This window comes from Homo sapiens, chromosome 4 (assembly GCF_000001405.40).
Source record: "Homo sapiens chromosome 4, GRCh38.p14 Primary Assembly".
Classification (NCBI taxonomy): domain Eukaryota; kingdom Metazoa; phylum Chordata; class Mammalia; order Primates; family Hominidae; genus Homo; species Homo sapiens.
In genome coordinates, this window is record NC_000004.12 from 48,562,480 (window position 1) to 48,578,470 (window position 15,991).

The 15,991-nt window shown below is 35.0% G+C and overlaps 1 protein-coding gene and 1 pseudogene across 21 annotated transcripts in view; both read right to left on the reverse strand.

Annotated features, from left to right (window-relative positions):
• Positions 1-15,991, reverse strand: part of FRYL (FRY like transcription coactivator) — a 282,923-nt gene that overhangs the window by 65,123 nt on the left and 201,809 nt on the right. For 17 of the 21 annotated variants that reach the window (XR_007096393.1, XM_024453991.2, XM_024453993.2 and 14 more), the window contains 9 exons: positions 13,551-13,743; positions 12,638-12,762; positions 10,707-10,764; positions 8,348-8,439; positions 4,769-4,941; positions 3,052-3,212; positions 2,454-2,564; positions 1,469-1,623; positions 410-509 (listed from right to left, as the gene is read on the reverse strand). Coding sequence is in view for 20 of the 21 variants with exons in the window: in XM_024453991.2 (XP_024309759.1) it covers positions 410-509; positions 1,469-1,623; positions 2,454-2,564; positions 3,052-3,212; positions 4,769-4,941; positions 8,348-8,439; positions 10,707-10,764; positions 12,638-12,762; positions 13,551-13,743 (1,168 nt within the window). In the remaining variant the exon portion in view is untranslated. Of the gene's footprint in view, positions 1-409; positions 510-1,468; positions 1,624-2,453; positions 2,565-3,051; positions 3,213-4,768; positions 4,942-8,347; positions 8,440-9,204; positions 9,415-10,449; positions 10,473-10,706; positions 10,765-12,637; positions 12,763-13,550; positions 13,744-15,991 lie in introns of those variants that run through there. The other 4 variants (XM_047450100.1, XM_005248093.6, XM_011513684.4 and 1 more) reach the window with 4 other exon arrangements.
• On the reverse strand, positions 11,974-12,041 carry RNU5E-3P (RNA, U5E small nuclear 3, pseudogene; annotated as a pseudogene).

The following is a 15,991-nucleotide window of genomic DNA, read 5'->3' on the forward strand; positions in this document are numbered from 1 at the left end:
GTTATTTCTCCTCAACCTAATAAAGAAAATTTACATGAGAATATGATAAAAAGAGCTAATTATTTTTCACATGGCTCTCCAAAAAAATTTGGACACACATTGTTCTCATCTGCTGAACAGAAATACTTACATGGACACATATTTATAAGTACCTTCATACACATACACACACATTATCATAAATAATCCTTCTACAATACACTTAGGAATAGTCTGCATTACTTATAAATTTAAATATCTATATTATCTTTGTCTTATACTTCTAATAATAATTAGGCCTTGATACCATAACTTCTTTACTATAAATAAAGCTAAATACTATTATCAGTATGCTTTAATAGCAAGACTAAATTATTGGGCTTCATTAAATCCTGAGTAAAAAAATATTTAAATTCACATGTTTACAAACCTGTAAAAGTTGCATAGCAACTTCATAGATACTTCTAGAAGAATCAGCTGCTTTAAACAGTATCAGATTTAGAAGCATCACTGTGTCACATTGATAATCCCTAGGAATAAATTTTACATATTAAGTAAATAACAATGTTTAGAGGCTTTTGCACCATTTAATAAATATGATATGCAAAGGGCAAGGCTTATAGGCATCTATCTTCTAAGCCTATGAGGAGACTTGGTTTTTTCAAGGCAATAGGTACAACAACAGATGCATGGTGATAATTGTCCTTATTTTGGTTAAATTCCATTAGAGCACACGTGTTCAACCTTTTGGCTTCCCTGGGCCATATCAGAAGAATTGTCTTGTGTCACACATAAAATACACTAAAAACAGCTGATGAACTAAAAAAAAAAAAAAAATCCATGCATAATTTTTGTAATATCCACCACCACAGATAAGCAAAAAGGTCCTCACATTCAAAGGGTTAGACACGGCTGCATTTGAGCTTAAGAAAAGAAAATACAGTCAACCCTCTGTGGATCAAAAATATGAGGGAAAGGCCAAGCGCGGCAGGTCATGCCTGAAATCCCAGCACTTTGGGAAGCCAAAGTGAGAGGCCAGGAGTTCAAGACCATCCTGGGCAACATACGTAGTGAGACCTCGTCGCTACAAAGAATTTAAAAATTAGCCAGGCATGGTAGTGGGAGCCTACAGTCCTGGCTACTCGGGAGGTTGAGGTGGGAGGATCACTTGAGCCTAGGAGTTTGAGGTTACAGTGAACTATGATCATGCCACTGCACTCTAGCCTGGGTGACAGCGAGACCATGTCTAAAAAAAAAAAAAAAGGAGTATACGGGAGGATTTGCATAGAGTAAATACAAATACTACAGCATTTTATATAGAAGGCTAGAGCATCCATGGATTTTGGGATCTGAGAGGGGTCCTGGAACCAATCCCCCACAGATACTGAAGGACAACTAAACTGGTGTCTTCCTATTTTTGAATTCAAAAGAAAAACTTTTCTTTAAGAAAACAGAACAAAATGAAACAAAAAACCTGTATCTAAAGTACCTGTTCTGGAAAACATTAGCAATGGCTTTAAAGCAGCCGGCCGCCACCCTCCCGGAGCCCGTGTAGCAGCGGTCCACAGCCCAGTACATCAGGTTGCTCTGATCAGGGTTCAGCTCCAGTAACAACGTAACTGCTTCACAGCCCAGCTGGTGAACCTAGGTAAAGGTTGTGAAATTGCCCGAGAGAGAACGTTATATATTTTTTGTCTATTTCCCTATAGTTCTTACTAAAGTAATATAGTGCATATATTCATTGTAATTAATAGAAAAATTCCATCTCCTTTTGTTCACCTCCCTCTCATTTTATTCAGCCAGCAGAAAAAACCACACAGATGAACTGAATTTGGCCTCTCGCTTTTTACGCGAGCCTCTCTAGTATGATTTTGTCTTCCAACAGAGCCCTGAAGGCAGTTAATGAATATGAATAGTGATTAGGTGCTTTCAGAAAAATGAGTCATTAACCTCTCCAATTATTTTTATCAAGCTTTATTCTTGTTTTTGATAACCCAATAGAAAAACTGTTCTGAGGGGAAAAAATGTAAGTCCTATTTTAAATTGTGAAGTCTGTATATGTACAATATGAGAGTAAGGAAGGCAGAGTGTGGAGGGCAAGGAGGAATGATTAAATGGAAAGTGGTTAAAAAAACGAAATGAAACATAGCAAATAACATATTTTTCCCATGCAGCTCAATATGTTCTATGCTGGTATTTTATTTATTGACTTAGAACCCTGTTGAGAGACACATACCACTGTATTAATCCTATAATATAAAAAGGGAAATGAAAATTATTCAAATTAATGATACATAAGAATTGGAACGTTTTTACATTATGGGATCCTATTTAACTTTATATAATATGCTTTTTGCATATGATCCTAACCTATCTTATTTTTTTAAAAGACTTGTTTTTAGTGCAACATACATTAACTGCAAATAATACAATGACAACTTATTATGAACCTTTAAGGAAATTGTCATAATTACCTTTTTGTCCAGAGAATCCAAAATGTTATCCAACCATTTGTACAAATAGCCATCTGATGAAAGTCCTACATTATCTGCAACAGGGCCACAACACAGTACAGCAGACATAGCCTTCAAATAATAATATTAGAATTACATTTAACAAATTTAAGAGGTTAAATGTTGGTTGCTTAATGAGAAGAGGCAAAATACTTATCTAGTCACAATACTTTAATCTTTTTTCTTTACAAATTATTTTTTAAAACTGAGAAATTTATTATGAGTAAGTAAATATGATACCAAATTAGACATGGAGTTTGAACAGTACTGGAAGGGAAGATAAAAAGACCAAGAAAAAGTAATTAAGTAAGGGAAAAAAGGCATTTCTTTCAAGTAATCCTAAGTTCTTTAAGATAATGGTGATCAAATTTGAGTAGATTCTGGAACTGTTTTTCATTGTATTTTATGTATTTAAATATAACTTATGGTATAAGTTTTGAATATGGCAGAAAAACATTTTAATACTCTCAGATCCTCTTTTTAATACTAGTGACTGAGAGACTTAAAAATACTTAACTCTGCTCTTAAGAAAAAAGAAATCAGGTTTCTAAGTAAATACCTTTAACGCACAGTATTGATGTCTATTAATTTGCATATTTCTATCACTGTATCTGTCCAAGGGCGTAAACATGATGCTAAAAGGACCTGCCCAGTGACTGAACAGCATAAATAGACTGTGACGAAGGCTCTGTTGAGGAAAAATACTTCTTCTCTGGTGCACTGTGAATAAAAAAAGATAGAAAACATTTATTTCCATTTCTTTTTGCTTTAACTTTTATACCAACATGTTATTGAATGTGTAATAGTGTAAAAAAGAAAGCAGAAGTTTTCATTTTAAACTATCAAAAACCTCCGCGGTAGCAGGGATCATTTATATATATGCAAATCACAGAAACAAAGTTGCAGTCTGTGTCACCCTGTCCCAGCATTACATGACATAGAGCATCTCTGCAAGCAGAAATTCCATGGCAGGCTCAATGGCACATGAAGGCTGGCACAGAGGTGGGGCCAGGAGTCCATTTCTCCCTGGGCTATCACTGGCTATATGGTAAGATTGGCCAAGATTTTAACACAGACACACCTCTGTATCTTGGTTCACTGGTAAGTAAGGGCTTTGGACGAGATACGTGTTTTCAAACTTTCTATTTTTTTTTTTCAGCAGGAAAGCTGCCTTTTCCTGCTAAAGGAAGCTTACATGTAATCTCAGTATATAAAACAGATAAAAGGGCAGTTCAGGCCTAGTGTCCAAACACATTCTGCTGCTTTCTGCGGATGGCATCAGAGAACCTCAGGGCTTTGAGAAACACCAAAGTTTGAAAACCACTGGTTTAAATGATCTCCAAGGATTTTTTTCCCCCATTTTGAAATTCTACTATATAATTTCTCTACATCTATCCTTCTTGAAGAAACTCAGCAGTATCACAATAAACCAATGTGGAAGTTGTAAAAAAGTGTTTAGTAATAGACTAAACCACATCTTTATATTAGTGAGCTTCAGATCAGAAAATTTCGAAAAAAATATGCTCTTTTCCTTTGACAGTGTCATTTTCCTTTCAAAGATGAAAACAAGGCTCCTACAGTTGAAATTGACATATGTAATTAAGTGCTTAATGACCCTGTTATAAAATACAACCCATGTTCTTTAGGTATCCACTGTCTGTATATACTATTCAAAATAACAATGTGACTTTAATTTTTCAAAGAGAAAAAGAAACACTTATAGTGTATGCCAAAGGCTAGTCACATTACTTCTTACAGTTGTAAATAATTTAACTTTTAAAAATGTAATTGTGTATATTAATCTTCCTAGTATCTAAACCAGTATCTGTCGATATAGACCCTACTCAATAATTGGAACATATCTGGTAAATCAGTAACACGGTATCCTTGTTACATTTTGTATTTATGGCCTATACTCTTTTCCCATTATTCAAAAGTATCTTCTTAATTTTATTCTCAATTATCATGAGACACTGCACTCTGCTTATTGCATCTAAAACAAGGCTATCCTAAAGAGCTTATTCTATTGATTTCTCCAGGTTTTTGTGTCAGTATCCTGATTATTACTGAAATTCTATGCTGGGTTGCTTTTTTATTTCTAATCAGTGACAATAATTCAAAGGGAAAACAAACTCCAGCCATCCAGGTTATGCTGACATATTTTTCCAGTATGTTCATACGTTACTTTATCAACTTAGATTATTAAACCTCAAGGAAAGAAAAAATATGACGGTTCCTTAATACTCAATAATGCTTTAAGAAACTGAAAATAATACCTGGAACATTCTGAATAATATTCGCCACTAAGGCACTAAAATGGCATCGTATATCCTTCAGTGTGTCAGAGTCTTTTTCATTTTCTGCTTCCAGGAGTTGTCTAGTTAAATCTACATATTCCAATAAAGTGTTGTTGAGAAAATGTGTTTCATTATCAAGGCCACCACTTGCACTGAAAATATTGAAGAAAACAAAAGATGAAGTAAATGGGACTTTATGATTTAAATAAAAAATTCTTAATACTCAAAATCAGAATAATACATGTTAATTTTGCATGCTCATGGCAGCACGCAACTTAATATATGAAAATTAAATGAATATGATTTTGCTTACTTTAATATGAAAATAGATGGTGCTTCTTAATCTAGGAACTGCTATTGCAATTTATATTATTCAACTCCATATCTAACTTAAATCAACTCAGTGCTAAATGTTGTTTCCTCTCTGTGAAACACACAGATTTCTAAATACAGAGACAGGAGGCATATGAAATGGGGAGGATCAGTTTAGAAAAGTAGAAAGAGGAAAGACTAGTTCTATTTATTCATAGCTGCCATGTCTATTCATATTGTGCCTTCAGCATAATTAAATATCTATTAGTCACTTAGTAACATTCTGGGATAGGTATTATCAGGGATGCAAAAATCTAAGAGAATTCTTGTAAGAATAGGGTAGAGTACTGGGTTTCAAAACCTTTCTATACCTATGAAATTGCCTTTAAGAATATCTGCAATGTGCTGGGCGCGGTGGCTCACACCTGTAATGCCAGCACTTTGGGAAGCCAAGGTGGGTGGATCACTGAGTCCAAGAGATTGACACCAGCCTGTGCAACATGGTGAAACCCCATCTCTACAAAAAATACAAAAATTTGCCGGGCATGGTGGTGCACGCCTGTAGTCCCAGCTACTCGGGAGGCTAAAGTGGGAGGATTGTTTGAGCCTGGGAGACCTGTGATCTAGTCACTGCATTCCCGCCTTGGTGACAGAGCAAGAGCCTGTCTCAAGGAAGAAAGATGTATCTGCAATGAGGTTTTCTTTGAGGCAAGGGATCTATGTCTGCGCCTGGCAACCACTGACTGACTGATGGAGTATTTGGTTAGAGTCAGAAGTCCTGGATTCCTGTCTTGTTTCACCAATCATTAAGCATATATCCAGTATCTACTCCAGAGTGTTTTAGTAAGGATGTAAATGAACTGCTATATACGAAAAGGCCTAGTAAACAATAAGTGCTATATAAATGATTAGCTATTACATATGCATTTGTTTAGGTCAGCTTTTTCTTATTATGTTTGAAAATTACTTCTAATATATATTATTTTAAAGGTAATTTTTTTTTTACTAGTTATGAGTAACTTCGGAATAAATACCCTAAACCCATGAAAACAAGAGTTAGGAGTGGCAATGGTACTACAGTATATTAACTAGATCAGTCTACAACAATAAATATGTATTGAATGAATCAATGTATGACCTTTATTCCTTAAATAAGTGTTTTTCAAATTTTTTCCTTTATTCCTTAAATGAGTGTTTTTCAAGCTCTGGATCATGACCTACTAGTGGATAGGAAACTGATTTAGTGGACTACAACCTGTACCAGAATAAAATCTTCATTAATCTAACAAATATTCATTACCTTCTATGTGTCAGGCACATGAAATCCACTAGGTGAACAAAACAAAGCTCCCTGTCTTCTTGGCATTCAGAATTCATTTTTTTCCGTAGCCATGAAAATTTAAAAATCCAGAATAGCAATAACTTTCTATTAATAACTCTTTAAAAAATACTTCAAAACAAAATACACAACTGGGTTCAAAAATCATTATTGCTTAATAGTCATATAGTTTTTGGTAATTTTAAATACAGCAAAATTTTGCAGTCCCCAAAATAGAACCATTCAAAGATTCTTCTACGAATGCTACAATTAAAGCAACCAAAGAAGATTCAGATGTGTATCAGGTTGTTAATTTTTTGCATCAAGCCCACAAGTTTCAATTTCACTTTTCCTAACTTTAACTCTTATTTTTTGTGGAGGAAAGAAAAGAGAATAGTATTTCTTTCTTTCTTTTTTTTTCTTTTGAGGCGGAGTTTCACTCTTCTCACCCAGGCTGAAGTGCAATGGCACTATCTTGGCTCACAGCAACCTCCACCTCCTGGGTTTGAGTGATTCTCCTGCCTCAGCCTCCCGAGTAGCTGAGACTACAGGCACGCATCACCGTGCCCAGCTAATTTTTGTATTTTTGGTAGAGACGGGGTTTCGCCATGTTGGCCAGGATAGTCTGACCTCAGGTGATCCGCCCTCCTTGGCCTCCCAAAGTGCTGGGATTACAGGTGTGAGCCACTGCATCGGCCAATATTTCTTTTTTTTATTTGCTTTTTATTAAGAAAGAAAAGTAAATCAATGGTTTAAATACTCTGATTAAAAATCTATTTTGAAAGTATTTGTCAAAAGCATTCAATGCTACATATGAAAGGTGTTCGGTAAAATAAATAATTGGGAGAAATGCTAAAGGAATAATGCTGTGCAGTTATCATAGTTACTACACTTGTTGGATTAATAATACTTCTTTTTTTTCCTTTTTGTTTCAAGACAAAGTCTCGCTCTTTTCCCAGGCTGCAGTGCAGTGGCATGGTCAAGGCTCACTGTAACCTCAATGTCCTGGGCTCAGGTGATCCTTCCACCTCAGCCTTCCAGGTATCTGGGACTACTGGTGTCTGCCACTATTCCTGGCTGATTGTTTGCGTTTTTTATAGAGATGGGATTTTGCTATGTTGCCTAGGCTGGTCTCCAACCCCTGGGCTCAAGTGATCCACCCATCTCAGCCTCCCAAAATGCTGGGATTACAGGCGTGAGCCACTGCACCTAGTCCATTTTTTTTTCCTTAAGATATCTTTTCAGTGACCTTTTTGGATATGGTCACATCTATTATATTTCTCCTTCAACGGTCAGGTAACACCATTATCCTCCTAAGGAAATAGTTATTTTTCAACATTCAGCTGATGGAATTTTCCTCAAGGGGCTGGGCTTAGTGTGAAGATGCCTTTACTGCGGCAATATCTCCAGGTTTCATGGTTTTATCTGTGAATGGTGGAAAACAGTTATGAATTATATTTGTAAGATTTCATAATTTTCCCTGGCAGGATAGATAGCAAGTTCATTTGAATAAATTTGTAAGCTTTACAATGTTTAGCCTGTGAATATATTATTTTTTCAAGCTCAGAAGAAAAACATCTTTAAAATGAGGTAAGAAAAAGGAAAATCTTTTTTCCTTTGTGACAGAAAAAGCTACCACTGTCCACTTGCCAAGATAACTAGGTTCCAACAAATATCAAAATCATAGGAACATTATATCCATTTTTTGCCAGAAGCAATCCAATTCTGGTAGTAGATTTTTCAATACATTTTTAGCTACTGGTCAGTGTATCGAATGCATATTTATTTGTTAAATAATTTTCACAGTGATACATACAGGTTTTCTTGTTGCAATGGTGCTTTTCTGTTTTTATACATTTCATGAGCGAAAAGAGATTACGTTCTCTAGGATCATTCCAGAGTTTTAACAATGTGAATCCAATACTGACCTGTGACTAATGACACCAGCATCTGCCAGCAGTTCAAATATTCGTACCAGTTGTACTCGTAAAATGTCTCGACGCCTGCGCCGTTTCATATTCTATTCCAAAGATACAAACACATTAATTAAAATCCTGCTGGTGTAACTTGGAAAGAATAATGTGACTGCCTCAGAGAGAGGTTCTGGGCTCATTGAAGTTATTTTGCTTGTACAGTGTAGACTGTGGGTACTCTGGTAGCTACTGCCTCAAAGAGGTATGAGTGAACAGTTTGAAATGAATGAGTCAAATAAGGTCACATGACATCTTACATGGTGACAACCCCTGTGTGTCAGGGGAAGTAAAATACTACATTTTTAGGTTATTTGCTAATCAGACAGTTTTGGAATTGAAGCAATTAGTAAACTGTTATCATGGAATTATAAGGAATCCCTAATACCCTCCCAAAAATATGACAGAAGTATAGGGAAAACAATCCTAAAAAGGACTTAAGATTTTGCTCATGCCACAGTTTTCTACACAACAATTTTGGCACAAAAAATATAAACAAATACAAGAAAAACTTCTTTACTCATTATGATATGAATAAATATGTTTGTATTACTAGGTCCAAAGAACTAGAATAATGCCCAGAATAATAGCTGTAACATTTCAACGTGATTCTGCTTCTAGCAGAAAGTCATGTAAGAGATATCAATCACCTATATCACCTTCTACTATAGGTCATTATTTCATTTGTGATGTAATTTTCATATTACAGAGCAAATTAAAACCATATTTACTAGTTGAAATTTCACTTTCTTGTCCATGACCCAATTTTTCTGCCTTCCAGGTGCATGATAATTTACTAATGACTAATCAATTACATTTACTTTTCTCTTGGCTCTTTCTAAAGTTGACAGCAATTCATTTGAAACAGGATGATTTCTTATCAGTCTTTGAAGATTTCTGCAACTGGCTTTTGCAGTTTGGTTGGCCTGTTTTCATTTTGTCTTCACAGAAACAGTGTGAGTCTAAAGCTCTTCAACTATAACTCACATTCAAGGCACATCACTGCATGTGTTTAATAGCATTCCTTCTGAAATTCAGAAGAATAAATACTGCTATTTTGTTTTGTTTCAATCTCACATTTCTCTAACAAGTCATCCAGCACTGTAACCAAACTGATCATTCTGAAACAAAAATCAAATCAATGACAAAATAGGAATACTATCATGACCCTACAGTGCTGAATTAAAGGAGAATGAGGAATTGCAGATGATGTTTCAAAGTCCCTAAACTGCAGGGATTATCACCATCTCCCTCTCCTGCTTAAATTCCTCAGGGCATCCCCAACATTAACAGCACTGATTCCCAAACAATGTTCTACAGCAGACTCATCTAAGATGCTTTACAAAAACAGACTTCTGGACCCTATTCCAGGGATTCTCATTCAATAGACCCAGGAGTCTAAAATTTTTAGCAAGCTCCCCAGGTAACTCTCAGATGCCACAGGCACAGGAACTACTGTTCTACTGGTTAAAGCTAAAGCTAGTAGTTTTTCATGAGATATTTCTCATCTTGCTATCCAGCCTAATATTCAATCACTTCCCCCATAATATAACTACACAGAAAAATTTGCAATTTCAAAATTCTTTGTAAAGTTTGCAAATGCTGTTCTTTGCCTAGAATACCTTTTTCCCTTGTTTGTCCACTGAGGAACGTGCTTCAAAATTCATCTGAAATATCAGCACTTCATCTATAATGCCTTCCTTACCCTGCAACCAGAGTCCCAGGCTTTCTTCTCTGTAGTTCTTAGAATCTCTTCTCTATGATTTTACTTGAGTGCGTAATAAATTGTTAGAATTAAGGTTTTCATAACCATCTGTCCCACTGGACCTATAGTTTCTGAAAGCTGCTCAGAACCTGTAGATTTGGGAATCTAGGCTCAGTCTTGTGAAACTACATCCCATGGGCCAAATCTGGCCCACTGCTACCTGTCGCTGCAAATTTTTTACTGTTTTACTGGCAAACAGCCACACTCCTTTTTTTATGTAGTTTACGAACGCTTTCATGCTACAAAGGCAGGGCTGAGTAGAGACAGTATGGCCTGTAAAGCCGAAAATATTTACCATCCGGTCCTTTGCAGAAAAAGTTTGCCAACTCCATTCTAGACCCTATTTTCTGCCCTCACTTAAGTTAAAGCAATTTTTCATCCGTTTTACATAATGGGTTTCTGCATAAGATCTTCTGCGGGGAGGGGAAGTGTCTGCATCTTAAAAAGAAGAATACACTAGATAGTCTTCGTAATTTCTAACTTTTGATATAACATGTAAATATGGCAGAAAAATGAATGTTCACTAATACAAGGCTGCAGAACACAGCTCACCTCTGGCCTTCTTTCGAGTGCTTCTTTAATTATGGGATGTAATTCCTCTATTAGTTCCCTGGAAGAAAAATGGTACATATTCTATTAATAGCTACACAGATATAATCTGACACAGGTAAATATGTAAAAACATGATGTAAACTGACAAGTGTTAATTCCAATCCTACTGTTTTAAACACAATGTCTATTTTTTTATTTGGTTTATAAAATAACACATTATATTATAGACTATTTGGAAACCAGAAAAAAAATGGTATAGGCCTCTTATTTTAATTTATAGAGGGAATACTACCAATATTTTTATTCAATCAGTTTGCAATCCACATACGTTTTACTTAGTTGAAACTGTTTTATATAAAATGGTATCCTTTTTTATTTTTTGAGATGGAGTTTCGCTCTTGTTGCCCAGGCTGGAGTGCAATGGCGTGATCTCGGCTCACTGCAACTTACGCCTCCCGGATTCAAGTGATTCTCCTGCCTCAGCCTCCTGAGTAGCTGGGATTACAGGCATGCACCACTATGCCTGGCTAATTTTTTGTATTTTTAGTAGAAACAGGGTTTCTCCATGTTGGTCAGGCTGGTCTCAAACTCCCGACCTCAGGCGATTTGCCCGCCTCAGCCTCCCAAAGTGTTGGGATTACAGGTGTGAGCCACCGCGCCTGGCCTATTTTTCTTTTCTTACACTAACATAGTTAATTTTATATGCCAATAATTAATTCATGATATTCGAACATAGGGTGGGGTACCATAATTTTCCTAGACATTTTCATTTATTAATGAATCATTTTATTTTATCTAATTTTCTCTTACTAAAAATATTGCCTCTGTGAACAACTTTGTACATTTTTCACTGTTTTCGTTTCTATCCCCTTAGGATTAATTTTACAAATTAAATTAATGGGTCAAAGGGTATGAACTTTGTAAAAATGATAAATTTCTCTTTATTTATATTTTGATTTTAAATTGAAAATGTGCTTATTTTAAGATTGGGAAAATCTGAAAAAACATAAGAAGAAAAAAATCATCCACAATTTAATCATGTATCGAAAACTGCTGACCTTTAAAAGTGTCTCTGAATTGTTTCTAATTATGAGAATTTAATTATTTTAAGTTGAGATCACTTTTAAATCCTATTTTTTTCAATTAGCAGAAAAGTGTCTTTATCTGTCTTAAAATCTTTTTCCAAAACTTCATTTATAAGAAATGCTATCCCATACCTATAGATATATTACAATTTATTAACCTATTCTTTTTTACTTATTTTTATTTAAATGTTCCTCTCTATGGAAATCTTTAGCAAAAGGCAAAAGATTTATACAATCTGAAGCGAAACCAGAGTATTAACCTATTCCCTGGTTGTATAGGCTATCTTGGAGACAAAACATCAGATACCATTCTCATATTAATTGAGGAAATTCTCAAAAGAATAAATTCTGTGCCCAGGAGACAAGGCAGAACTTCAGGCAAAACTGAAGAATTTGCTTCATTAATATAAAAAACATCACGAATGATATCAAACATCTATGTAAATACTTTTTGAAAGATACTCTAATTCTCTTGGATAAGAAGGGGGAAAACTGGAGTTTTAACTACTAGAGCAAGATTACACATTAAAAGAATGACTACATAAATAAATATAGTAGTAAAATATTAAATATTTATATGGCATTTCATTATTTCTAGAACATATAGGTAAGTTTTAATCTGCTCAATCAAAATGAGGAAATAAAGCTTCCAATAAATGTTAATGTTTGGATTTTAATGTTAATCCATGTTAAATGTTACATGGCTAGTTAATTGGTGAAAGTCAGGCCTGGTATGCGGTCAAGCACTCTGCTTGACCCTACCACACCTTCTAAGGACCCTACCACACCTTCTAAGTAGCACATTTATTCTTTTAGGACATAGAAAAAATGTACGAACATAGTTACCTAAAAGCTCCTGGGTTGGTCCTGCCAAGACCTAGAACAAGGGATTCTGTGATTTCCATGCTCTCAGAACGCATCATTGGAACTATGTGCTTAAACAAGGATGAAGGGGATGGGATGCCAATAATCTGGAAAAAAAATATCGTATTTGTAACAGCCACTAATGATACTATGTCCAATTAGATAATCTGAGATTTCAGTAGTCTTATGTCAAGGATAAATGGACAGGTGAAACTTTACTATGAATGATACCTCAAATTTCACCTGGGGTGTACATAACTTAAAAGGTTAAATAGCTTGTCCAATGGCTTAATGCAAGTTCATTAACAGAACTTGGGGCTCCTAATTTCTTACAGACACTCATGATCATATAATAGGCTGACTCCCTTCATCAGATACTCTGTACCTTTTGGTCCATGAACATGAAGAAAACAAAATGACTTCTAAAATAGTCATCAGTGCTAAAGTCAGACACGCTGGTCTTAAGTTTTGTCATTTTCATGAAAACTAAACCACTGTTCTTATCAAGTACCCTTTAGATCACTACGTAATTTAGGGAAATTCTAGAAAGGCGTTTAATTATTTAAATGATTCCTTTTGGGTTCTGAGAAGTGTGAGAACTATAAAAACTAGAATATGGGAAAATAGGTATGACAATTTCTTTAAAAATGTTGAGTATGATAAACTGAATGAGCACGGGTCTTTCTTTCCAATGGAAAACTATGTACGTATTATTGATTCCAACTAGGAATCCATAAAAGCAATGATGGGCTTTCTTGAGGTATTTTCCTTTTTGCAAGTAAGTAACACATTTTCAACTGAGTTACTTTATTGTCCATAAAAAGAAATTTTAAAATCTTATTTTTATGGGGCCATTCAGATTTCATATATCCAACAGTGGATCTGAGAAACTTACTTTAGAATCAATGCTATAGCCGCTATCTGGGGTAGACGCCAGCGTCTCAGGAGGAGAACATCTCACAGAACCTGCAGATGTGGAAGATGACGATGTTGCTGCACTGCAGCAAAGGATCAGATAGTTTCTCCACAGGCCAATGTATGAGTCACTGCTTGTGGTGGTATTTACTTTCTTAGCATTGATGGGGCTACTAAGGAAAAAAAAAGAAAAATAGGCAGATATGAATAACACAACACGTTTTTAAAAGTTTATTTTAACTAATGCTAAATTTCTTTTTTTTTTTTTTTGAGACAGAGTGTCACTCTGTCACCCAGGCCGGAGTGCAACTGGCATAATCTTGGCTCACTGCAACCTCCCCACCTCTCAGGCTCAAGTGATCCTCCCACCTCAGCCTCCAGAGTAGCTGGGACTACAGGTGTGTGCCATCACGCCCAGCAAATGTTTTGTATTTTTGGTAGAGATGAGGTTTCGTCATGTTGCCCAGGATGGTCTCTAACTCCTGAGCTCAGATGATCTACCTGCCTTGGCTTTCCAAAGTGCTGGGATTACAGGGGTGAGCCACCATGCCTGGCCTAATGCTAATTAGAGAGATGGTTAGCATAAGGTTTTTATTACTAGTACTGTTTTTGTGGACTGATATCAATGAATAAAGTAATGGATTAAAAATTAAAATATGTTACCAGATCATTTTAACATTATTACTCCTGTGATAAAAGTTAATATTTTATTGGGCCATATTTTATAACTTACTATGCATACTCAATGTAGAAAGAAAACAAAATCAAAATCACCTTTAATCCCACATGAAAATAAACACTGCATATTCTATATATCTTTAATTCATATACATGAACTATAAGTGCATGAATACATCTCTTTTAATTTATACGAATTAAATGTTTATTTTATTTTGTATCTACCTTTTAGACTTACGTATTTTTCACCTCTCTATGTAAATTAATATACTTCTGTGACATTATTTTGATTAACTATATGCTATATCAATATAAAGTATCATATTTTATATAACCAAAGTTTTGTTGTTTGACATTTTAGCTAATAGCAATTTTTCCCTATTATACACAATACTATACATTTGAATATATGGTTAATTATTTTCTTAGGTAATTCTTGAAAATGAAATCACAGAGTCAAAGAAGATACATATTTTCAAGGCTTCTGCCAAATTTCTGTCTTGAAAGATTACATCAATAAAATATTTTGAAACAATTCCATAAATCTTTCCAAATACCGAAATTATGTTAGAATTAAGAACTGAGAGCAAAACGAAAGAGGAAAAATACAAATATATAATCCTTGCCTTCAACTAGTTTTGTAATATGTTAAGGTAAGTAATGCAAACACATCACTTTGTTAATTCAGCAAGAGCATCATAGAACAATGTCCTAGTATGTTAGAAAACGATCTAAGCACTGGTAACGTATCAGTCAAAAAAACTGTCAAAAAAATCACTGCCCTCATGCAGGCCATGGGAGACATACAATAAAGAAATAAATAAAACAATGTCAGATGGTGCTAAGTTTGATGAAGAAAAATAGAGCAGAAAAGGGAGATAAAGAATGCTGGTAGGATATGGGGTTATAATTTAAAATATGGTAATTAGGGAAGGCTACTTAAGGTCATAAATGGTATGCAAGGTGGCAAATGTCAATCTTTATTTAAAAAGTAACATCCAGACCAGGTGTGGTGGCTCATAGCTATAATCCCAGCACTTTGGGAGGCTGAAGTGGGAGGACTGCTTGAGCCCAGAAGTTCGACATTGCAATGAGCTATGATTACACCTCTGCATTCCAGCCTAAGTGACAGAGTGAGACCCTGCCTCTTTAAAAAAAAAACAAAAAACAAAACACAAAACAAAAAAGAAATCCAATACACAATACCTGAGAACATATATATACAATTAGCATGTATATGTAGAAATATATATACATATATATATATTCAAATCCAAAAGTAAGAAGGACTACTCTGGGTAGGAAGTTTAAGAGATTTTAAAAAATAAGATTGAATTTGAACTATATTAGATACGGATATGCAAAAATTAAAAAAAAAAAGGTATCCTACGCTCATGTGAACAAAAGCTCACAAAATGGAAACTATCAACCACACTTAATGAACTCTGAGGGGATAATTTGGTTCCAACTTTGAAAGTATTGATAGAAAGTAAGAAAAAAGGTACAGAGTGAAGTCAGGTTTGAAGAGCCTTTAATGTAGGCCTCCAGTGATAGGTCAATCCAGATGCTGGGTTTACATGGGCAAGTTATATGCTGAGAGGACTCATTCCATTCAATGTGATCAGTGGTGTACTCTGTAAGGAGAAATCAGGAACCCAAACCCAGATTCAAAAATTCTCCTCTGTATTTAAGAGCAAAAAAACAAAACAAAACAAAAACTAACTGAAATTTATAATGACCTTG